Source organism: Homo sapiens, chromosome 17 (genome assembly GCF_000001405.40).
Source record: "Homo sapiens chromosome 17, GRCh38.p14 Primary Assembly".
Classification (NCBI taxonomy): Eukaryota; Metazoa; Chordata; class Mammalia; order Primates; family Hominidae; genus Homo; species Homo sapiens.
Window position 1 is genome coordinate 36,266,104 of NC_000017.11, and position 24,886 is coordinate 36,290,989.

Genomic DNA, 24,886 nt, shown 5'->3' on the forward strand with positions numbered 1-24,886 from the left:
CCTAAGGAGAAGGCACCTCAGGGAAGGGGACTGTATTCATTTGTTTTCACACTGATGTAAAGAAATACCTGAGATTGGGTAATTTATAAAGGAAACAGGCTTAATTGACTTGCAGTTCCGGAAACTTACAATCATGGCAGAAGGGGAAGGGGAAGCAGGCACCTTCTTCACAAGATGGCAGGAGGGAGATTGTGCAGTGGCACAATCTCGGCTCACTGCAACCTCTGCCTCCCGGGTTCAGGCAGTTCTCCTGCCTCAGCCTCCCTAGTAGCTGGGATTACAGGCATGCACCACCACGCCTGGCTAATTTTGTATTTTTAGTAGAGACAGGGTTTCACCATGTTGGCCAGGCTGGTCTTGAACTCCTGACATCAGGTGATCTGCCTGCCTCCGCCTGCCAAAGTGCTGGGATTACAAGTGTGAGCCACCGCGCCAAGCCATATCTGTTCTTTTTTTTTTTTTTTTTTTTTTTGAGACAGAGTCTCACTCTGTTGCCTAGGCCAGGCTGGAGTGTGCAGTGGTGCGATCTCGGCTCACTGCAAACTCCACTTCCCTAGTTCAAGGGATTCTCCTGCCTCAGCCTCCCTAGTAGCTGGGATTACAGGTGCATGCCACCACACCTGGCTAATTTTTGTATTTCTGTAGAGACCAGGTTTCACCATGTTAGCTAGGCTGGTCTCAAACACCCGACCTCAGGTGATCCGCCCGCCTCTGCCTCCCAAAGTGCTGGGATTACAGGCATGACCCACCGCGCCTAGTCCATATCTGTTCTTTTTTTTTTTTTTTTTTTTTTGAGACAGAGTCTTTCTCTGTCGCCAAGGCCGGAGTGCAGTGGCGTGATCGCAGCTCACTGCAACCTCCGCCTCCCGGGTTTAAGCGATTCTCCTGCCTCATCCAAGTAGCTGGGACTACAGGCACCTGCCATCATGCCAGGCTAATTTTTGAATTTTTAGTAGAGAAGGGGTTTCACCATATTGGCCAGGCTGGTCTCGAACTCGTGACCTTGTGATCCACCCGCCTCGGCCTCCCAAAGTGCTGGGATTACAGGCCTGAGCCACCGCACCCGGCTAGCCTGTGTCTGTTCTTTAAAATTGTTTTGTTTTCCTTACTCTCAGATTCTTCTTGCTGCTTATTGTGCCTTGTTGCTGCCTGTTGTGCAATTTCTTCCCTCTTGTATTTTACTGAACTTCATCTGAAGAAGCCTTAGTAGCCAGATAAACAAGCTTGTTTGGGCTAAAAAATCAATTGCTGTGTGAGAGTTTGTTGGATTCTCTTCTGAGTAAAGGGTATGTGTTTTATTGTACGGACTTTGTATCACCTATTTTGGCTTTTCATCCAGGCCTTTTTTTTTTTCTTTCTTTTTAGCTTCCTGGTTCTAGATACAACTGATACTCTGATACAACCTGGGTAAATGTGGTCTTGAGTAGTAAATTATCTGTGAAGCTTCTCCGAACTTTGCCACATAAATGAGCCTGCTCTTGTTGTGAAGTAAATCTTACTCTAATCTGTATGTGAGTCAGTTGGAAATAACTGAGCCTTCGGATGGCTTTTGTTGTTAACTGAGATTAGTTCTCTAGATTTTAGTGATTTTGTTTTGAACACCATACAAGTATGTGGTTCTTGGTTTATTTGGTCACTTGTAATCTCTTTAAAATTTTATTTTAAATTAGGAAGTATTTTAGAAATACAAGAAAGTCACACACTATGAGATTAAACAGATGTTAACATTTTGCCCCATTTTCATCAGACTGTGCATGCTTTTTTTGGGGGGGAATAAAATGTCACAGATACCACTAAAGCCCGTTTCCATCTCGTCCCACCCTGCCTCTAGAAGTAACTTCTTTCTTCAGGTAGGTGCGTATTATTCCTTTTTATTCCTACGTATAGTTTAAAACTTTAATTGCATATTAGTAGCCACAAACATCACATACCAATATTCTGTGCCTTTTGCATTTTTACATTAATGGTAATTATTTTTGACCTTCTGCAAATGGCTCTTTTCAGTGTTTCTTGTTAGAAAACTTGGCTCAACTTGAGTTTACTAATTATCTGCTTCTTCTTGTCTTTAGCTATTATAGAACTGTTCCACCAAGGCAACAATTATTGCTATTTTAATGGTGAAATCAGTTTTATTAGGCAAATTGACTCAGGCTTCAGACTGGCATTTGGAATTGTCACACTGGAGATTTTCTTTTACTGAAGTCTCAGGACATTGACAATCAGAAAAAAACCCTCTTGAGTCTTACTATCGTACATGTAAGATATGTTCCTGAGTGACTATAGTAAAGACTCATTCAGGAAAATGTTATCTCCGATTTCTGCCTCCCTAGCTCATAGGAAACTTCCATTGTAAAGTTGTTACCAGGCGTCAAGCTGCCTCTTTGGTACAGCCCTTACTTAGTATTTGGCTCAGTTGAAGTGCAGTCTATATAGGAGGCCAAGAAGACTTAATCCTGGGTTTGAAACAAAGCAAGGATACACTAACATTCTATCCTTTAATAACATCAAGTAGAAAAATTGAAAATGAGCTTGTTATCAGTGCACTTTTATATGCCAACCTTGTTTCACTTGTGTTTTAAACTGGGAAACTGAAGATTTTAATGCTGAAATTTCTTTGAATTATTACCTGTTTTTTTGATAGTGGAACACACAGCTAATATTTACTAATATGAAGGTGTCAAAGGTGAGAAATCATGTACTACACCATCAGGTCAGCACTACTGTTTGGAAGAGCAGCATCACAAAGAGCAGTGTTATACTGCGTTGTAGTCAGCACATACACTTATGTCCAGACAGATATTTTAAATTACCTTCTTGGGGTAGTACACATATGCTGATATCCAAAGTGCCATATAATACAATACATAGTTTTTAAACTTCATATCATTCTGATCAGAAGCTTTATAAACTGTTAGGTGAATGCTGTTAGATGATATGAGAGCACAATTTAACCTGTGTGTGTGTATATGTATGTCTTAACATCTATTAAGTGATGACTACATATGAGGCACTAAGTGCTAAAACAGAGACTTTACATAGATTATCCCATTATTGGTCAACTTTTTAAATAAGTGCATCTCTAATATAAGACAAGATGCTGACCAATTTTTAAAATGTGAATGGATTTCTATTTTTAAGATAAGTACCTTTGTTCCTTTGGTTCCTCCCTCCCACCCTTCCAGAAATGGTAGTATCCTGGAAAAAAAAAATTAGTAGCAATTCAAGAAACAGCTTAATTCATTAGTATAAATAGATGAGTTTCCCCTAAACACAGGAGGAGTTGGAAGGTACTTGAAATTGGATGTTGTGCATGGTGCCTTTCCAAAATGCACAAATACTTTCTCTCAAATGGTTGCAGTAGTAATGTGCTGTGTGATTTGGCATGTATAATGTTGTACAGGTATCTTGACATTGGTGGATTAACTGCTTGGCTACTGTGAAATTCACTGTAGATGTTGATGGATGAAAGTGTGGTTGCCTAGGTAATGATTAAGACCAGTAACTAAACCACAGTTATTATTTTGCTGGCATAAACTTCAAACTCAGAAAGGTTTTTATTCATTTTACCCATTGGAGCATACCCCAGTAAGTGCTTCATTTCTTTGTGTTTCTGATTTTTTTTTTTTTTAAGATGGAGTCTTGCTTTTGTCGCCCAGGTTGGAGTGCAATGGCGCGATTTCGGCTCACTGCAACCTCCACCTCCTGGGTTCAAGCGATTCTCCTGCCTCAGCCTCCCGAGTAGCTGGGATTACAGGTGCCTGCCACCACGCCCAGCTAATCTTTGTATTTTTAGTAGAGATGGGGTTTCACCATGTTAGCCAGGCTGGTCTCGAACCCCTGACCTCGTGATCCACCCACCTTGGCCTCCCGAAGTTCTGGGATTACAGGCATGAGCTGCCGTGCCCAGCCATGTTTCTGAATTTTTAAGTCAACTTCTGAATAGGCAAAGAATTCTTTTTGTTTTTTTGTTCAACTTTAGTGCTATAAATCGCCAGTTGGACACAAAGGTTTTAGTGCTATTTAGGTATGTTTTGGTGAAATAGTGTGAAGGAATATTGCTGCTTAAAAGATAAGCCATTCATTAAATGACGTCTTTGTTTTGAAACATGAAGACTTATGAGAAGCATTTTTTTTTGTAAGCCAAAGTAGTTTCACTTTATGTGTTACAGATTTTGAATAGCTCATTATAGACTTTGCAATTTACTGTCTCTCATTTAGGCAGGTAATTTTAGTTGCCAGCTAATCATGTTTAAATATGTATTGGTTATTAATAAATGATTACCCGTATACAGGTCTTTCATGCAGATATCGTACTACTCTGATGTTCTTACCTAGTTTTGTGGTATGTTCAGTTGTCTAAGAGCATTGTTGATCTGCACACAGATTTTGTTTGGTCTATACAGTGTTTCTGAAAACTTGAATTAGTTACCATTAATAAAAAATAGAGAGACTGCACATGAAATCTGAATTTGTAGCTTTTAAAAAAAAAATTGGAAGATCAGGCCAGGTGCGGTGGCTCATGCCTGTAATCCCAGCACTTTGGGAGGCCGAGGCGGTCAGATCACCTGAGGTCGGGAGTTCGAGACCAGCCTGACCAACATGGAGAAACCCCGTCTGTACTAGAAATACAAAATTTACCGGGCGTGGTGGCACATGCCTGTAATCCCAGCTACTAGGGAGGCTGAGGCAGGAAAATCGCTTGAACCTGGGAGGCGGAGGTTGCGGTGAGCCGAGATCACGCCATTGCACTCCAGCCTGGGCAACAAGAGCAAAACTCCGTCTCAAAAAAAAAAAAAAAAAATTGGAAGATCTGTCAGCACTAAACCTGCCAGTCACCATAGCGATAATTCTTTGGCTCCAAGAAATGGCTACCACCTCCTTCTTTTAAGGGGTTGTGCACAGCTTCCACATGGCTTGCTACACTTACCTGCCTCAGGAAGCATTTCTTTGTGATTTAGGGCATCTGTGTTTTTGTTATTTTAGATTTAGAACATTCAAATGTCTGGAAATGAATTTGAAGTTTTGTTTAAAACAAAACAAGTTTTGTTTTAAGCAAGGTTATGACTAAATTGAAAAATGCACAAGAGGCCAGGCGTGGTGGCTGACGTCTGTAATCTCAGCACTTTGGGAGGCTGAGACGGGCGAATCACGAGGTCAGGAGTTTGAGACCAGCCTGACCAACAAGGTGAAACCCCATCTCTACTAAAAATACAAAAATTAGATGGGTGTGGTGTTGCACACCTGTAATCCCAGCTACTCAGGAGGCTGAGGCAGGAGAATCACTTGAACCTAGGAGATGGAGGTTGCAGTGAGCCAAGATCGCATCATTGCACTCCAGCCTGGGTGAGAGAGCGAGACTCCATCTCAAAAAAAAAAAAAAAAAAGAAAAATGCACAAGAGTGTTAAACAAGCAGTTCACAGTGGAAAAACTTAATGGCGCGTGCACACACACACACACACACACACGAGAAAAGATGCATAGTAACCAATGTTATTAGTAATCAGGGAAATTCTGATTAAACCAATGGACTATCAGTACAAAAATTTTTTTTTTTAATTTTTGAGACAAAGTTTTGCTCTTGTTGCCCAGGCTGGAGTGCAATGGCTCAATCTAGCTCACTGCAACCTCCACTACCTGGGTTCAAGTGATTCTCCTGCTTCAGCCTTCCAAGTAGCTGGGATTACAGGCACGCACCACAGGCCTGGCTAATTTTTTTTTTTTTTTTTTTTTTTTTTTTAGTAGAAATGGGGTTTCACCATGTTGGTCAGGCTGGTGTTGAACTCCTGACCTCAAGTGATCCACCCACCTCAGCCTCCCAAAGTGCTGGGATTACAGGCGTGAGCCACTGTGCCTGGCCAGGACTATCATTTAATACCCATTAGATTGTCAAAAATACTAAAGTTTTTCAGAACATGCTGAAAGTGGGATTTCTTCATTCTTTGCTCATGGGAATGTCAGTTGACACCACTCTAGAGGATAATTTGGCAGTTCTTGGTAAAGTTGAAGATTTATGTCCAACAATCCAGAAAGTCCACTATTAGGTTCCTTTCCATGGAAAAATTCTCTCATGTGTGCACAGGAAAACATGGACCAAGATGCTAGTTTGTTTGTTTATTTATTTATTTATTTATTTTTGAGACAGAGTCTTGCTCTGTTGCTCAGGCTGGAGCGTGGTGGCACAATCTCCGCTCACTGCAAGCTCCGTCTCCCAGGTTCACATCATTCTCCTGCCTCAGCCTCCCGAGTAGCTGGGACTACAGGCACCTGCCACCATGCCCGGCTAATTTTTTGTATTTTTAGCAGAGACGGGGTTTCACCATGTTAGCCAGGATGGTCTCGATCTCCTGACCTCATGATCCGCCTGCCTCGGCCTCCCAAAGTGCTGGGATTACAGGCGTGAGCCACCGTGCCCGGCCTTAATTTTTGTATTTTTAGTGGAGATGGGGTCTCTCTACTCTCTATGTCAGCCAGGCTGGTCTTGAATTCCTGGCCTCAAGTGATCTGCCTGCCTGACCCTCCAAAAGTGCTAGGATTACAGGTGTGAGCCACCACACTCGGTGGTAAGAGTTATTGTATAAAGTTTTGACATAATTTATAGTATCAGCCTTCTTCCTCTATCCTCACAGAAGGCCTCATGGTGAGTTTGATGTGCAGGTTAAAATATATAATTATTGCAATATGTTGTAAGAAATGTTTCCTAATTAAGATTTTTATGAAATTAAACGTATTTATTTATTTATTTTGAGATAGAGTATCACTCTGTTACCAGGCTGGAGTGTAGTGGCAGGATTTCAGCCCACTGCAATCTCTGCCTCCCGGGTTTAAGCAATTGTCGTGCCTCAGCCCCCTGAGTAGCTGGAATTACAGGCCTATGCCACCTTGCCTGGCTGATTTTTGTATTCTTTTTTTTTTTTTTGAGACGTAGGCTCACTCTGTCGCCCAGGCTGCAGTGCAATGGTGCGATCTCGGCCCATTGCAAGCTCACCTCCTGGGTTCAAGTGATTCTCCTGCCCCTGCATCGTGAGTAGCTGGGATTACAGGTGTGTGCCACCAGACCTGGCTAATTTTTAGTAGAGATGGGGTTACACCATGTTGGCCAGGCTGATCTCAAACTCCTGACCTCAAGTGATCCGCCTGCCTCGGCCTCCCAAGGTGCCAAGATTACAGGTGTGAGCCGATGCCCCCAGCCTATTTTTATTTTTTGAGACAGAGTCTCACTCTGTTGTTCAGGCCGGAGGTCAGTGATGTAATCATAGCTCACTGCAGCCTTGCTTGACCTCCTGGGCTTAAGGGATCCTCCTCCTTCAGCCTCTCCTGTAGTTAGGACTATAGGTGGGTACCATCACACCCTCCTAATTTAAAATTTTTTTTTGTCTCACTGTGTTGCCCAAGCTGGTCTTGAATTTTTGACCTCAAGTAATCCTCCTGCCTCAGCCTCCCAAAGTGTTGGGATTACAGGCATGAGCCACTGTGCCCAGCCCTTTAATAGTTTAAAATCAAAGTTTAAGTAGAAAACATTATTTTATTTGGCTCATTGGTTAGATGTAAGTGATGTGAAATACTTAAACATCCATTATTGTTTTTAATATAATTTGGAAAATATGAGTTGCTTTGGATTATTAAAACTTCATTTATTTGTACCATTGATGCATAAATTCTCAGTCTAGGTTTTAGCGAAGTCTGGATTTTAAAAAATTGACTGTGATATTAGTTCAAGTCTTACGAACATCATTATTATTATTATTTGAGAGACACAGAGTCTTGCTCAGTTGCCCAGGATGGAGTGCAGCTGCACAATCACAGTTTATTGCAGCCTCAACCTCCTGGGCTCAAGCAGTCCTCCCACTTCAACCTCCCGAGTAGCTGGGACTATAGGCACACATCACAACTCCTGGCCAATTTTTGTATTTTTTGTAGAGATGGGGTTTCGCCATGTTTTCCAGGCTGGTCTCAAACTCCTGGGCTCAAGCGATCCTCTTTGCTTAGCCTCCCAAAGTGCTGGGATTACAGGTGTGTGCCAACACACCTGGCCAAGTTGTATATACTATTAATCTAGGCTATTTCTGACACTGTTGATTTTCCTTTTCCCCTTAGGTGAGGCAGGCGACTAATCAGATTGTGATGAATTGTGCTGATATTGATATTATTACAGCTTCATATGCACCAGAAGGAGATGAAGGTAAGAGCTGTTTTCCATTTTAATTTGCTGTCTGCATGTGCATATGTGGGGTGTGTGTGTGTGTGTGTGTGAGAGAGAGAGAGAGAGACATTTTCAGGTTAAGACTTCAGTGTTTGTTACTTTAGAAATGGGTAAATTCAGCTGGGTGAAGTGGCTCACGCCTATAATCCCAGCACTTTGGGAGGCTGAGGCGAGCAGATCCCTGAGCCCATGAGTTTGAGACCAGCCTGGGCCACATGGCGAAACAAAAACAAACAAACAAACAAAAATATTAGCTAGGCATAGTGGTGCGTGCCTGTAGTCCCAGCTATTTGGGAGGCTGAGGTGGGAGGATCTATTGAGCCCAGGTGGCCGAGGCTGCAGTGAGCCATGACTGCGCCGCTGCACTCCAGCCTGTGCGACAGAGTGAGACCCTGACTCAAAAAAAGAAAAAGAAAAAGGGTAAAATGTTTATGGGAAATATTGAATAGTATAACCTAACAGTATTGTGAAATAAATGTCACAATTTATTTTACTTTTAAATTTATTTTTATTTTTATTTTTTTTGAGACAGAGTCTTGCTCTGATGCCCAGGCTGGAGTGCAGTGGCATCATCTAAGCTCACTGCTATCTCTGCCTCGTGAGTTCAAGCAGTTCTCCCTGCCTCAGCCTCCTGAGTGGCTGAGATTACAGGTGTCCACCATCATACCTAGCTAATTTTTGTATTTTTAGTAGAGACAGGGTTTTGCTATGTTGGCCAGGCTGGTCTTGAACTCCTGATCTCAGGTGATCTGCATGCCTCCCAAAGTGCTGGGATTACAGATGTGAGCCACCACACCCGGGCAAATGTCACAATTAAAATTCCACTTCCAAGATTAACTTATTTTGTGGTACTAGGGAAATCATATTTTCATAAGTATAAAATGAATATAATACGCATAATAAAGCTGATGAGTTATTTGAAAAATTAAGTACTTTGAACATGAAAGGCTCCTCAAAGAGGCTTCGTTTTTATGTTTTTCTTAAAGTTTTTTTTTCTTTTTGTACTATAGTTTAAAATTGAGATAAGTCATACTCCTAATTCAGAGAAAAACATTTGCTTTATGAGACAATATGAAGATTAGAAGCTAAATAATGGAGTTAGTTACAGGGGAAGAACATGCTAAAAAGAAACATGGTATAGAATGTGGAACTCGATTAGTGTCTATAAAATGAGAACTGTTTTATTTTATTTTATTTTTTATTTTTTTTTGAGACGGGGTCTCGCTCTGTCCCCCAGCCTGGAGTGCAGTGGCGCGATCTCGGCTCACTGCAAGCTCCGCCTCCCGGGTTCACGCCATTCTCCTGCGTCACCCTCCGGAGTAGCTGGGACTACAGGCTCCCGCCACCACGCCTGGCTAATTTTTTTGTATTTTTAGTAGAGACGGGGTTTCACCGTGTTAGCCAGGATGGTCTTGATCTCCTGACCTCGTGATCCACCCGCTTCGGCCTCCCAAAGTGCTGGGATTACAGGCGTGAGCCACCGCGCCCGGCCGAGAACTGTTTTAGACCTTATAATTTTAGTATGAAAGTAGTCCATTTTGACTGGAAATCTTATTCCCGTATGAGCTGATTTTTAAATAGATACCAAGTTTGGCATAAACTCTTACAAGTACATCAGTATTGGAGCTGGATTGCTTTTTACTTTTTTTTTTTTTGAGAGAGTCTCGCTCTGTCACCCAGGCTGGGGGGCAGTGGCATGATCTCAACTACCACAACCTCTGTCTCCTGGTCTCAAGCCATCCTCCCACCTCACCCTCCCAAGTAGCTGATATTACAGGCGTGTACCACCATGCCTGGCTAATATTCGTATTTGTATTTTTTTATAGATATGGGGGGGGTCTTCCTATATTGCCCAGGCTGGTCTTGAACTCCTGGGCTCAAGGGATCCGACCTCTTTGGCCTCGCAGGTTGCTGGGATTACAGGCAAGAGCCACCACACCTGGTTGCCTTTTTACTTTTGATTTCACCTAGACATTCCTTGTCAAAATGGTTATTGGTTACTCTGAGACTTCTTTAATAAAAAATAATTTAAGGCCGGGCGCAGTGGCTCACGCCTGTAATCCCAGCACTTTGGGAGGCCCAGGTGGGCGGATCACAAGGTCAGGAGATAGAGACCATCCTGGCTAACTCGGCGAAACCCTGTCTCTACTAAAAATACAAAAAATTAGCCTGGCGTGGTGGCGGGCGCCTGTGGTCCCAGCTACTCGGGAGGTTGAGGCAGGAGAATGGCGTGAACCCGGGAGGCGGAGCTTGCAGTGAGCCGAGATCGCGCCACCGCACTCCAGCCTGGGCGACAGAGCGAGACTCCGTCTCAAAAAAAAAAATAAAAAAATAAATAAAATAAAATAATTTACACATTTGATCTTTTAACTTACATTTTATATTTTGATTTCCTCTCTCCTTTACATTATACTGAAAAGAAGTTTCATTTTAAGGCCTCATAACATTTATGATTTTTTCTTAAACTATTTTGTCTATAGAAAGTCAAAGTAGTAGCAGTTGAACATACTGTTCCGAAGAAGTACTTAAGTTCAATTGATTGTAAATTAGATCAAACTGCTGGAAGAACAGATTCTTCAAATGGACTTGAATGAGTGCCACTTTTAAAAAATTGTCTGGTAAATGAAAGAGTGATTATTTAATTTCTTTAACTGTGGAGAAAAATAGAAGTACTTTAGCCAGGTATATCAAAGCAACAAGGCTTTCTTTGTTGCAGGTAGAGAATGTTTAAATTCGATGTGTGGTTTTAAAGTGGTATGTAGATAGGTAGATCTAGTAATATAAATGTGTACCTTCCAGCTGGCATGGTTTCAGCTCAAGTTTGTTTTTTATCTTCCTGTACTAAAAATGTCGGGATAGAATTCAGGTGACTGAAAAGTTCTTTTTTTTTTTTTTTGAGATGGAGTCTAGCTCTGTCGCCCAACGATCTCAGCTTGCTGCAACCTCCACCTCTGGGGTTCAAGCAATTCTTCTGCCTCAGCCTCCTGAGTAGCTGGGATTACAGGCGTGTGCCACCACACCCGGCTAATTTTTGTATTTTTAGTAGAGATGGGGTTTCACCATGTTTGTTAGGCTGGTCTTGAACTCCTGGCCTCGTGATCCACCCGCCTCAGCCTCCCAAAGTGTTGGGATTACAGGCGTGAGCCACCGCGCCCGACCTGACTGAAAAGTTTTGAATATGTGTAACCGAATGTTGCTAAGCTCATAATGATCTGTATCTCACGGAAGCCCAGTTAGTGTTCTTACTAAGAGAGTCAGGAGAGAAATGAAAACTTAATGGAAAAGAAGATTTGAAGAGAGATTCTGATAAAACATTAAATTATTTTAGATACATAATATATATTCAGTGCTGGGTGCAGTGGCTCACGCCTGTAATCCCAGTACTTTGGGAGGCTGTGGTGGGTGGATCATGACGTCAGAAGTTCAAGACCAGCCTGGCGAAGATGGTGAAACCCCATCTCTACTTAAAATAAAAAAATTAGCTGGGTGTGGTGGCGGGTGCCTGTAATCCCAGCTACTCAGGAGGCTGAGGCAGAGAATTGCTTGAACCCAGGAGGCAGAGGTTGCAGTGAGCCAGGATCGTGCCACTGCACGCCAGCCTGGGTGACAGAGACTCTGTCTCAAAAAAAAAATATTTTCCTTCAGAACTAGCTAAGGTACATTTCTCAACACTTTTCTACCACAGCAACAGGAAAAAACCTGAAGTCATGTGTAAGCCCATGTAATTTTAGAGTTTAAGAGAATGGGAAGTTGTATGAGTTGTTAAAGTTTGAATTGGGGGCAGCCAGGTGTGGTGGCTCACACCTATAATCCTAGCATTTTGGGAGGGCTAGGTGGGCGGATCACCTGTGGTCAGGAGTTTGAGAACAGCCTGGCCAACATGGTGAAACACCGTCTCTACTAAAAACACAAAAATTAGCTGGGCGTGGTGGCAGGCACCTGTAATTCCAGCTACTTGGGATGCTGAAGGCAGGAGAATCGCCTGAACCCGGGAGGTGGAAGTTGCAGTGAGCGGAGATTGTGCCACTGCACGCCAGCCTGGGCGACAGAGCAAGACTCTGTCTCAAAAAAAAAAAAAATAGTTTGGATTGGGAACAGGGATAGATTTGGGCTTCCACATGTATGTATGTGTGTGTGTGTGTGTGTGTGTGTGTATATATATATATGTAATAAAAAAGATAAAAGTAAAATCAGAAAATTACTTTTAAGGCATGAAATTGTTGCTTCTTTTAATTTTTTTTTTTTTTCTTTTTGAGATGGAGTCTTCACTCTGTCGCCCAGGCTGGAGTGCAGTGGCGCAGTCTCGGCTCACTGCAAGCTCTGCCTCCCGGGTTCACGCCATTCTCCTGCCTCAGCCTCCCCAGCAGCTGGGGCTACAGGCGCACGCCGCCACGCCCAGCTAATTTTTGTATTTTTAGTAGAGACGGGATTTTACCGTATTAGCCAGGATGGTCTCGATCTCCTGACCTTGTGATCCGCCCGCCTCGGCCTCCCAAAGTGCTGGGATTAAAGGTGTGAGCCACCGTGCCTGGCCAATTGTTGCTTCTTTGTGTAAGTTTTTATTTGAAGAAAAAGGCCATTTTTTTGTGATATGTGCAGTCATCCTAAAAGACCTATGGGCATGTGTCTGTTTTTTTTTTTTTTTTTTTTTTTGAGATGGAGTCTTGCTGTATTGCCCAGGCTGGAGTACAGTGGTGCAGTATCGGCTCACTGCAACTAGTAGAACTTTTTTTTTTTTTTTTAAATAACTTGTTTTAAAATAATCCTTAATAGGCTTTTATTAACTCTGTTTGGATATTAGTTATGTACCCTTTTCTCTTTGCAAAAATGAAAAATCATTTCAAGTAGAAATTAAAGGTTTGTTTCTCATCCCTTTCTTTAGATATAGTAACAGTTATACCAGATATATATATATATATGTTTTTTTGTTTTTTTTTTTTGAGACAGAGTTTCACTCTTGTTGCCCAGGCTGGAGTGCAATGGCATGATCTTGCTCACTGCAACCTCTGCCTCCCAGGTTCAAGCAATTCTCCTGCCTCAGCCTCCCGAGTAGCTGGGATCACAGGCGTGCACCACCACGCCCAGCTAATTTTTGTATTTTTAGTAGAGACAGGGTTTCACCATGTTGGCCAGCCTGGTCTCGAACTCGAGACCTCAGGTGATCCACCTACCTCGGCCTCCCAAAGTGCTGGGATTACAGGCATGAGCCACCACGCCCGGCCCAGTTATACCAGATATAAGCAAATTTGCTAGTAGTTTAGATTTCTGGAATTGTGCCAACTACACATCAAGAGACTATTTAGCTTTGTTACAGAAGTCAGTATCAGTTTCTTGTTATAAGACGAGACCTGGTTTTACAGACTTTTCTATTTCTCAATGGAACTTTACTCTGAAGATATACTCTTCCATTTAAATACTAGTTCCAAAACCTACATTATATGGTGGCAGCTTAATAAACATTTAACATTTTGGTTAATTTAAATCTTGTTGATGTGTATACATGAATAACTGGGCTAAAAGCAGATACCTTTGATTATTGTGAAACTTCAAGTAAATATTGTGTGAAAAGGACCCCTTCTGTCTCACAAATTCTGGCCCCTCAGCTCATTGTCTGAACAGTGATTCCCTTGCATATAATAAATTCCCTTGGCTTATATATAATAATAAATGAAGTTTATTATTTATTTGAACTTTTTACCCCTGTAAATACCAAGGTTCTTTTTGCCTAAGTGGTAATTTGTGTCATTCAAAGAGTTTTTATTAAATATTATTATTATTATTTGAGATAGAGTCTCACTCTTATTGCCCAGGCTGGAGTGCAGTGGCACTATCTCGGCTCACTACAGCCTCCGTCTCCTGGGTTGAAGCGATTCTTGTGCCTCAGCCTCCCAAGTCGCTGGGATTACAGGTGTGTGCCACCAAACCTGGCTAATTTTTAAATTTTTGTAGAGATGGGGTTTCCCCATTTTGGCCAGGCTGCTCTCAAACTGTTGACGCCCACCTTGGCCTCCCAAAGTGCTGGGATTACAGGTGTGAACCACTGCACCAGACCTTAAATACTCTGTTTAAGTGATAGTTTGATAAGTGTGAACGCAAGTCTGAAATAGGTTTCTTTGCTTGTGAGAAAGTATAACGAATTGCCAAGACAATAGTGACAAACAGAGGGCATATTTTTCAAAGAGGAAGAGTTTATATAGTGTTAACATTAAGACAAAAGTCTTAAGTTTCTAATTTCTGATCTTGTTTGTTGGGATTTCTTTTTTTTTTTTTTTTTTTTGAGACAGGTCTTTCTCTGTCATCCAGGCTGGAATGCAGTGGCACAGTCATGGCTTACTGCAGCCTCCTGGGCTCAAGTTACTCTCCCACCACAGCCTCCCGGAGAGCTGGGATGGCAGGCATGTGCCACCACACCTGGCTAATTTTTTAATTTTTGTAGAGATGGGGTTTTGCAATGTTCCCCAGGCTGGTCTCAGACTCCAAGACTCAAGCAGTCCTCCTACCTCAGCTTCCCAAAGTGCTGGGATTACAGATATGAGCCACTGTGCCTGGCCCTTGTTTGGATTTCTATGCTTATCTGTGAAGTATATTCTGGTTTCTATGCAGGATAGATCCATTCTCAAATAAACAACCCTTAAGTATCATTAGTTCAAACTGGAGCCAAATAAATGTCAGCATTAGAAGGAGCAAGTGATAGTTAGCCAGCCCCTTTATTCCTTTTTAGTGCAAATCAGAGATAAAGAACATGAAGTTTGCAGTGTATTTGCATTCTTTCATTTTTACATTTGTTGGTTTTGAATAATATTGAGGGGCTGTCTGATAAAGAACCTGTGTAGGTTTCCATATGGCTATATACAAAGTATATGAGCGTAGAATAGTTTTAAATTTTGTCTTAGTTATACTTGGTAAGTTTTAAAACGTTATTTAAATAGCCTTAAGGTGATATGGATTGCTTTAGTGACTGCTGTTTTAGGAATTTAGTTGGCTTATTGCTGACTATAGAGGGAACGTTTTATCTTCTTTTTAACCTCCAGTTCAGGTTAGGTGCCTAACCAAGTGAAACATTTTTCATAATATAATGTTTAATAGTGATAATTATAAAAATAATGATGAGTTTAGTGTTTACTCTATACCAGGCACTAAGTGCATTACCTGTTCATATAGAGAACAACCGTAGGCACAGAGAGGGTATCTACTTTAGGTAATAAAACTGATAAATGTTAGAGCCAGGATTCAAACCCAGGCGGTTTGGATCTAGGGTCCATGTACTTGCCACTCTATTGCTTGTCATTAATGTAACCACACCATATTGCAATTATTTGTTTGTGTCATGTCTGTACTACTTTTCAATGGAATCTTAAGATCCTTGAGGGGCCGGGCATGGTAGCTCATGGCTGTAATCCCAGCACTTTGGGAGGCCGAGGCGGGCGGCTCACCTAGGGTCAGGAGTTCAAGACCAGCCTGGCCAACATGGTGAAACCTCGTCTCTACTAAAAAAAAAAGTACAAAAATTAGCTGGGTGTGGTGGTAGGCGCCTGTAATCCTAGCTACTCGGGAGGCTGAGGTGGGAGAATTGCTTGAACCTGGGAGGCAGAGGTTGCAGTGAGCCAAGATCACGCCATTGCACTCCAGCCTGGGGGACAAGAGACTTCTACTCAAAAAAAAAAAAAAAAAAGATCCAGTAATTATGATTCATTCTTTTTCATTTGTGGTTTTCCCTGGTATCTGACATATAGTAGGGATTTAATAAATATACATTGAATGAAACGAAGAAAATCTAGATAAATGGAGTAAGTCTGTCATACAGTAGTTCCTCCTTATCTATGGCAGATGTGTTCTAAGACCCCCAATGGTACGCCTGAAACCACAGATAGTAGCAAAACTTATATATGCTATGTTTTTCCCTATACATATGTACTATGATAAAGTTTAATTTTTACATTAGAAATAGTAAGAAATTAACAAAAGCTAATAAAAAATAGAACCATTATAACAATATACTGTAATAAAAGTTACATGAATGTTGTGTGCATCTCTCTCTCTTTTCTTTTTTTTGAGACTTTGCTCTGTCGCCCAGGCTGGAGTGCAATGGTGCGATCTCAGCTCACTGCAATCTCTGCCTCCCAGGTTCAAGCGATTCTCCTGCCTCAGCCTCCTGAGTAGCTGGGACTACAGGCGCATGCCACCACACCCGGCTAATTTTTTGTGTTTTTAGTAGAGACGGGGTTTCACCGTGTTAGCCAGAATGGTCTCCATCTTCTGACCTCGTGATCTGCCCGCCTCGGCCTCCCAAAGTGCTGGGATTACAGGTGTGAGCCACAATATCTTTTTTTTTTTTTGAGATGCAGTTTCACTCTTGTTGCCCAGGCTGGAGTGCGATGGTGTGATCTCGGCTCACTGCAACCACTGCCTCCCGGGTTTAAGCAAGTCTCCTGCCTCAGCCTCCCAAGTAGCTGGGATTACAGGCATGCGCCACCACGCCTGGCTAATTTTGTATTTTTAGTAGGGACAGGGTTTCTCCATGTTGGTCAGCCTGGTCTCAAACTCCTGACCTCAGGTGATCTTCCCCCCTCAGCCTCGTAAAGTGTTGGGATTACAGGCATGAGACACCGCGCCCAGCCAATATCTTCTTTTTAAAAAAAATTATTTCATTTATTTATTTTTAGAGGCAGAGTCTCTGTTGCCCAGGTTGGAGTGCAGTGGTGCCATCATATCTCACTGCAGCCTCAAACTGCTGGGCTCAAGTGATCCTCCTGCTTCAGCCTCCCAGTTAGCTAGGACTATAGGTATGCACCAACACACCCAGCAAATTTGTAAAAATTTTTTGTGAGTCAGGTCTGGCTTTATTGCTGAAGTTGGTCTTGAACTCCTGGCTTCAAGCGATCCTCCTGCCTCAGCCTCCCAAAGTGCCAGGATTACAGGCATGAGCCACTGTGCCCAGCCTCTCTTATAGTATCTTATTGTATTATACTCACTCTTCTTCTTTGACATTTCCAAACTGCTAGCATCACTACTCTTGTGCTTTGAGGCCATTATTAAGTACAATAAAGGTTACTTAAACACAAGCCTTGTGATACATTGACAGTCAATCTGATAACTGAGATGGCTACTATGTGACTAATGGGCTGGGTGGCATATATATACAGCATGGATAGGTCGGAGAAAGGGATGATTCATGTTCTGGGCAGAATGGAATGGGAGGGCACAAGATTTCATCACACTATTCAGAACAGTACAGTTTAAAACTTATGAATTGTTTGTTTCTGGAATTTTCCATTTAATATTTTCAGACTGTAGTTGACTCTAGGCAATTGAAACTGTGGAAAGTGAAACTGCAGATAAGGGGGACTTGTCAGGTCTGCATTTCTTCATGTGCTCTATCCTAGTAACTTTATGGGTAACAAAATTATTTCGTATTTGAGATTATTTTGTTACCAGCTTTAACTTGTATTTTACTTCCCTTTGAGGACTACCATCAAGATACTTACTAATTGTAAAGATTCTTTACAGTATTTTAAATATTAAGAAAATGGAGAGCATAAAAAACTGCTGTAAATTATGTAGTTTTTGCATTAAATGTAGAGAAAACACTGATTGCATAATGTTAGTAACATTGTAGTGTATGCTGTTCTTTTTTTTTTTTTTTTGAGATGGAGTTTCGCTCTTATTGCCCAGGCTGGAGTGCAATGGCATGATTTCGGCTCGCCGTAACCTCAGCCTCCCGGATTCAAGTGATTCTCCTGCCTCAGCCTCCTGAGTAGCTGGGATTACAGGCATGCACCACCACAGCCGGCTAATTTTGTATTTTTAGTAGAGATGGAGTTTATCCATGTTGGTCAGGCTGGTCTCGAACCTCCGACCACAGGTGATCCGCCTGCCTCAGCCTCCCGCAGTGCTGGGATTACAGGCACAAGCCGCCGCGCCCGGCCATGTATGCTGTTCTTAAGTGTGAAGCTGGAAGAGTTAGTTGTTCTCCAAATCAATGCTTCCTTACTTTTTTTCAAGGCATTAGTAGAAACTGATGTTTTCCTGGTACATAAGGAAGAGGAGGCTCACAACTGGAGGGTATCAGAGATCTTTCATTGCTCTAGGCCTACCAGGCTGGTCCAAGGGCCAAGGGAATTATTATCTTGATAAACCTGTAATACATGTTTGGATCTGCCACAGTTAGGGAAGCTCTGCTATAGTTTCAAGTTAATAGAATTAGAAGGGAAGTTAGGTAGTAGTCAGGGCTCATTTTATTTATTTGTGCCTTCTGTTTTACTTTTTTTTTTTTTTTTGAAATGGAGTCTTGTGCTGGCGTGACCTCGGCTCACTACAACCTCTGCCTCCCGGGTTCAAGCAGTTCTCTTGCCTCTGCCTCCCAAGTAGCTGGGACTACAGACGCAGGCCACCACGCCCGGCTAATTTTTGTATTTTTAGTAGAGATGGGGTTTCCCATGTTGGCCAGGCTGGTCTCGAACTCCTGACCTTGTGATCCACCTGCCGTGGTCTCCCAAAGTGCTGGGATTACAGGCATGAGCCACCGCACCCAGCCTGTTTTACTTTTTTCTTGATCCCAGATCTTTTTCAGTTTTCTTGCTTTTTTTCTCAAAGAACTAACCATTGCTTTGTAGACCTCAGTTAACTATTATTTCCTTATTAACTTCTGCTTCCTTTGGGTTTACTTTGCAAGGTTTTTTTTTTTTATTTTTGAGACGGAGTCTTACTCTGTCACGCAGGCTGGAGTGCAGTGGCGTGATCTTGGCTCACTGCAATCCCTGCCTTCTGGTTTCAAGTGATTCTTATGCCTCAGCCTCCTGATAGCTAGGATTAAAGGCATGTGCCACCACACCCAGCTAATTTTTGTATTTTTAGTAGAGGCGGAGTTTTACCATGTTGGTCAGGCTGGTCTCAAACTCCTGACCTCAAGTGATCGGTTCGCCTTGGCCTCCCAAAGTGCTGGGATTACAGGTGTGAGCCACCGCTACCGTGCCCGGTCTACTTTGCAGATTTAAAAAAACTTCTTTAGGCTGGTCCCAGTGCAGTGGTGTTTATAACTCATCAATCATAGCCAGTTACAGATTTCTTTATTCCTCCTTCACTCCCACTGCTTCACTTGACTGCCCTTAAAAAAAAACAAAAAACAAACAGAAGTCTTGAGATGGATGTTTGGCTTATTACTTTTCAGTCCTTCTTTCTATTATATTCATTTAAATATAAATTTTAATCCTAAAAATGTACTGCTTTTAGCTGCAGCCCACACTTTTTTTGGTTTGTTTGTTTTGGGGGAAATTCTCCAGGCAGTAGTTATGGCTGTTGTTGCTTGCTGCTGCTTCTTTCCTATTTTTGTTGATAGCTTTGTGAGAGTACCTGTAATGTTGACATACTATAAAGGGTACATCTTAAAATATGTAATTTGATAAGTTTTCTCATGAATGTAACCAGGTAATGAGCATATTCATCACCCTAGAACATTTCCTCATGCCCCTTTATAATCCTTTTCTCCCCTTTTCCTTGCTCCTTCCCCAGGCAATTATGATTTGATTCCGTGTTATTTTTTTTTTGTACAGAGTCTCTGTCACCCAGGCTGGGGTACAGTGGCTCTATCTCAACTTACTGCTACCTCCACCTCCCGGCTTAAAGCAATTCTTGTGCCTCAGCCTCCCGAGTAGCTGGGACTTCAGGTGTACGCCACCACACCTGGCTCATTTTTGTGGGTTTTTATTTGTATTAATTAATTAATTTTTATTTATTTATTTAGAGATGGAGTCTCGCTCTGCTGCCCAGGCTGGGGTGTAGTGGTGTGATCTCGGCTCACTGCAACCTCTGCCTCCCAGGTTCAAGCAGTTCTCCTGCCTCAGCCTCCCAAATAGCTGGGATTACAGGCTTGTGCCACCATTCCTGGCTAATTTTTTCTATTTTTAGTAGAGATGGGGTTTCACCATGTTGGCCAGGCTGGTCTTGAGCTCCTGACCTCAAGTGATCCACATGCCTCAGCCTCCAAAGTGCTGGGATTACAGGCATGAGCCACCACACCTGGCCCACCCCCCACTTTTTTTTTTGAGACGGAGTCTCGCTCTGTCACCCATGCTGGAGTGCAGTGGCTAGATCTCGGTTCACTGCAGTCTTTGCCTCCTGGGTTCAAGCGATTCTCCTGTTTCAGCCTCCCAAGTAGCTGGGATTACATGCGCCTGCCACCACGCCTGGCTAATTTTTGTGTTTTTGTAGAGACGGGGTTTCACCATGTTGGCCAGGCTGGTCTTGAACTCCTGTCCTCAGCTGATCTGCCTGCTTTGGCCTCCCGAAGTGCTGGTATTCTAGGCGTGAGCCACCATGCCCGGCCTCTTTTTTTGTTAAGATAGGGTCTTGCGGTTGGGTGTGGTGGCTGACGCTTGTAATCCCAGCACTTTGGGAGGCCGAGGTGGGTGGATCACAAGGTCAGGAGATCGAGACCATCCTGGCTAACATGGTGAAACCCTGTCTCTACTAAAAATACAAAAAATTAGCCGGGCGTGGTGGCGCATGCCTGTAGTCCCCCCTACCTGAGAGGCTGAGGCAGGAGAATTGCTTGAACCCGGGAGGCGGACGGAGGTTGCAGTGAACCGAGATTGCGCCATTGCATTCCAGCCTGGACAACAGAGCGAGACTCCATCTCAAAAAAGAGGGAAAAAAAAAAAGACAGGGTCTTGCTCTGTCACCCAGGCCAGAGTGCAGTGACAGGATCGCAGCTTACTGCAACCTCAAACTCCTGAACTCAAGTGATCTTCCCACCTCAGCCTCCTGAGTAGCTGGAACTACAGATATACGCTACCATGGTGCCTGGCTAATTTTTTTTAGTAGAGATGGGGTCTTGCTTTGTTGCCTAGGCTGGTCTCGAACTCCTGGCTTCAAGGGATTCTCTCACCTCAGCCTCCCAAAGTGTTGGGATTACAGGCATGAGACACCGTGCCTGGCCTGTTTTTTCTTATTACATATTTTTGTTCTAGAATTAATTTTTCCAGATTTGCTTGTTTTCTTTGTTTTGCTTGGTTTTGGGTTTTTTTGGGGGTTTTGTTTGTTTGTTTGTTTTTTTAAAGTAACTTCGCGTTACTTGCCAAATTTTTCAGGATTGGGATTTTATATTTTTGAACATAGTAAGCAGGTATATGAATAGTTTGCTAGTATCTAGGGGAGCTTTGTTTTGTTCCCCGTTGGTTACTAATACTTAAGGTTCATCTTTTTCCAGTGTCTGGGCTTCAGATGTTCAGAAGTTTAATCACATTCCACTTGTGGACTGCTTTTCTTCTTGTTCATCTTTCCTGGTAGGATATCACTTTTTTGGTTTCAAGCCCAAAGCAGGGGGTCATTTACTCAAGCTTCTTGTCTTGTCTTGTCTTGTCTCTTCTAATAGAGACAGAGTCTCACTGTGCTACCTAGATAGACTATGTTACTTAAACTCCTGGGCTTAAGCAGTCCTTCCACCTCGCCTCCCAAAATGCTGGGATTACAGACACAGTGCCCACCCAGCCACAAAGCCCCCAGTGTTGATGGGCCCTGGATTTCCACTTTTGTCCCTGGGGCCTATAGCCTCAGCTTCCAAATCTGCTACATCTCTGCTAGATCAGCAAATGACCCCAGAGCAAAAGTGGCCTAGAATGCAAAGCTTCCTCTTCATGGAATTTCATCCTCTTCTTCATCTTGATCACCTTATCTTGTTCTATGATTCTTTTAAGGAGAAGTTTTCCCTTCCTTCCAGCTTTTTTAGTTTTGTGGGTGTCAAGTAGGAGAGAGATAATTAGTTTGAATTATATACTCCTCTATTACCCAAATATAAAATCCTTTAAAAAAAAAAAAGATAAACTGAGACCTAGACAAATTAAGTAACCGTGTAAGACCACATAATCAATGGAAATCCTGGTCCAGAATCCTGAGTGATTTTAATGAAATAGTTCACAGTCATTTATTAAGAGCAGGGGCACCCTAGAAGGAATTTTTTGATTCTGTTGAACCAGATTTATATTTGGCACATGCTCATTCTTTTTAGACTTTTTAGATAGCCTAATAGGATAGAACCATCACTATGTTATATAAATGTGAAATCCATTTGAAAATATGGGACCTGTCAGTATAGGTACTGCTTGAACTGTAACTATGCATATATCTGATTGGCTTTTATGCCCTACGGTGAGAAGGAGGTCACCTTGAAGCTTTGCAAAGTAAGTTCTTGGTTCCATTTTTCACTTGAATCCCCCTTGGATATCCTCCAGAATGATGTGTTTTCTTTCCCATTGCAACATTATTTTCAGCTTTGTGGAGAAACAAAGTATGTTCCAAGTAGCAGGTAGTCACTGTAGGCCTTCTTTGAACTGTGAACTTTATTTTTTTGCACCTGAACTGCTTTCTAAAACCACATAAACAATATGATAGGGAAGTTGCTATCTGAATAAAAAAACAAAATAAAACCTCACAATGTGTTTGATCTAGTACTGAGCTACACTGGTATATGTGGGCTATATAGAATTATGTGGTTTAGATTACTTGTTTAAGTATAGCAGTGGCTTGGAGGAAAATACATTCTGAGTTTCAAATAGATAATTTGTAAAGGAAAATTTGAAGTACAGTTGACTTGGCACTTCTGATATTGAAATTTTAGAAGATTTTATTTCTGTATCTCAATGTAATGCCTAGGCAGAATCCACTAGATGCTTGTATAGATGGTATAAGCAATAATGATTTCAGCTATTTTAAAAAATTTCAATCTTTTTTTAATGTTGCCTCTTGAAATACCATCTTGTACTTCTCATTTTCCCTATACCTCCTTTTATGTGATTAAGTTTTATTATGTATAGACATAAAGGGGGCCTGGCACAGTGGCTCATGCCTGCAATCCCAGCATTTTGGGAGGCCAAGGCACAAGGATTGCTTGAGCCCAGGAGTTCAAGACAAGCCTACGCAATGCAGTGAGACCCTGTCTCAAACAAAAAAAAAAAAAAAAAAAAAAAAAAGGTTGGGGAGGGTGCTATGATATTATGATACATATGTTGGTTTTCATCCACAGTTTCTGTCATAGAACACCCATAGTCCCTGTTATTTCCTAAGTGACTAAAACAATATACATATATTTTATTGAAATATTTGGCCTTTTATTCTTGGTTTTTGAAGTGGCTTCAGTACAGCTTCAGATCAATAAAAGTGAAAGATGGTCTTTTGTAATAACGTTGGGGCACTTTAAACCTCAGAAGCAGGCTTCAGAAAACAGAATCGCTCTCTGACCTTTTCTTGCCTTGCTTTTACCTGCTCCTTTTTCTCCCCAAGCAGGCAATAGAAACTAAAAATATACTCTGATCATCCCCCAACATTCTGTCTTGGAGCTGACAGCAAAGAAATTATCTGACCTACCTTGTCTGATTGGAGGTCATAAGACCCCCATTTCAGAAGGCATCCTGCCCTGTACTTGGGAGGAAAGAAGTTGCACAGAGAGGCCAAGAAGACTCTGAACAGAGAGGCCTTGCTAGGTTTCCCCACTCAGTCTGTTAGCATTAGGTCCTACTTTGTCCAATCATATTTCTACCCGGTTGTCCATGCTTCAGTCGTGACGGTCCAGTGAAGTCCTGGACCGGGTACAGAGAGCTTCCAGATAGCTGAACACGTGGAGGGTCCTGGAGGGTGGTGCACCCAGGGAGGGTATGAGAGCTCTGCACCCCTTCCCACATGCCTTGTTCTGTGCACCTCTTCATCTGCATTCTTTGTGCTATTCTTTATAATAAACCAGTACACGTGTTTTCCTGAGTTCTGGGCACAGCTTTAGCAAATTAATCAAACCTAAGAAGGGGGTCATGGGAACACTGACTTGAAGCTGGTTGGCCAGAAGTTCTGGATGAGGCCTGGCCTTACAACTAGTGTCTGAAGTGGGGGCAGTCTTGTGAGACTGAGCCCTCTCTCAGCCTGTGGGATCTAATGCTATCTCCAGGTAGATAGCATGAGAATTGAATTGGATTAGAAGGTGCTCAGCTGGTGGTATCTTCTGCAGAACTGATTGCTTCTTGTTGGTGGGGAGAAATCCCCACACATTTGGTCACAGAAGTCTACTGTGTTGATGATTGTGGTGTAAGAGCAGAGGAAAAGCAATTTGATTTTTCTCCACAAGGGGAAGAAAATGTTTCATGATTCAACTAATGATTTACCTTTCATTGTAAGGTTATCATGCTCAAGTATTAATGTAGGAAGGCTTTTTTGATGCAGAGTGTGTGTGTGTGTGTGTGTATATACGTGTGTGTTTGTAGAGGGCTAACATTAAAAAGGGAAATGTAATAAGGAAGAAGAAATGGTGTTCTAAACTTAAAACCCATTTCATCTGCTAAATCGTCCTAGTGAAATACCAACTTTAGTTAATTTTAAAAAAAGTTTAGTTAATTGTAAAAAAAAAAAGAATCTCTTCATTATATTTTAAAAACCATTTATGTTTCCTTTTTCTGTAATTTATTCATATTTGTCCATTTTAAATTTCAGTGTTATTCTTATTCTTGTTATTGATTTTTTAAAACGTGGTCTTTATATTTGAGTGAAATTAACCTTCCATCATGAGTTGGAGCATTTTTTCCCCAATATATACTTCTCTTTTGATTTTGCTTATGGTCATTTTATAATGCCATGGTTTTTTTTGTTGTTTGTTTGTTTTTTTTTTTTTTGAGACGGAGTCTCGCTCTCTCAGCCAGGCTGGAGTGCAG

The 24,886-nt window shown here is 42.1% G+C and overlaps 1 protein-coding gene across 2 annotated transcripts in view; it reads left to right on the forward strand.

The window, feature by feature from the left end:
- The first annotated feature begins 7,993 nt into the window (after window positions 1–7,993).
- Window positions 7,994–24,886, forward strand: part of LOC101060212 (puromycin-sensitive aminopeptidase-like protein) — a 41,091-nt gene continuing 24,198 nt past the window's right edge. Inside the window, exon 1 of one of the 2 annotated variants that reach the window (XM_047437249.1) lies at window positions 7,994–8,180. In XM_047437249.1, the coding sequence (XP_047293205.1) occupies window positions 8,123–8,180 (58 nt within the window). In that variant the 5' untranslated portion in view covers window positions 7,994–8,122. The remainder of the gene's footprint in view (window positions 8,181–24,886) is intronic. The other variant, XM_047437250.1, reaches the window with a different exon arrangement.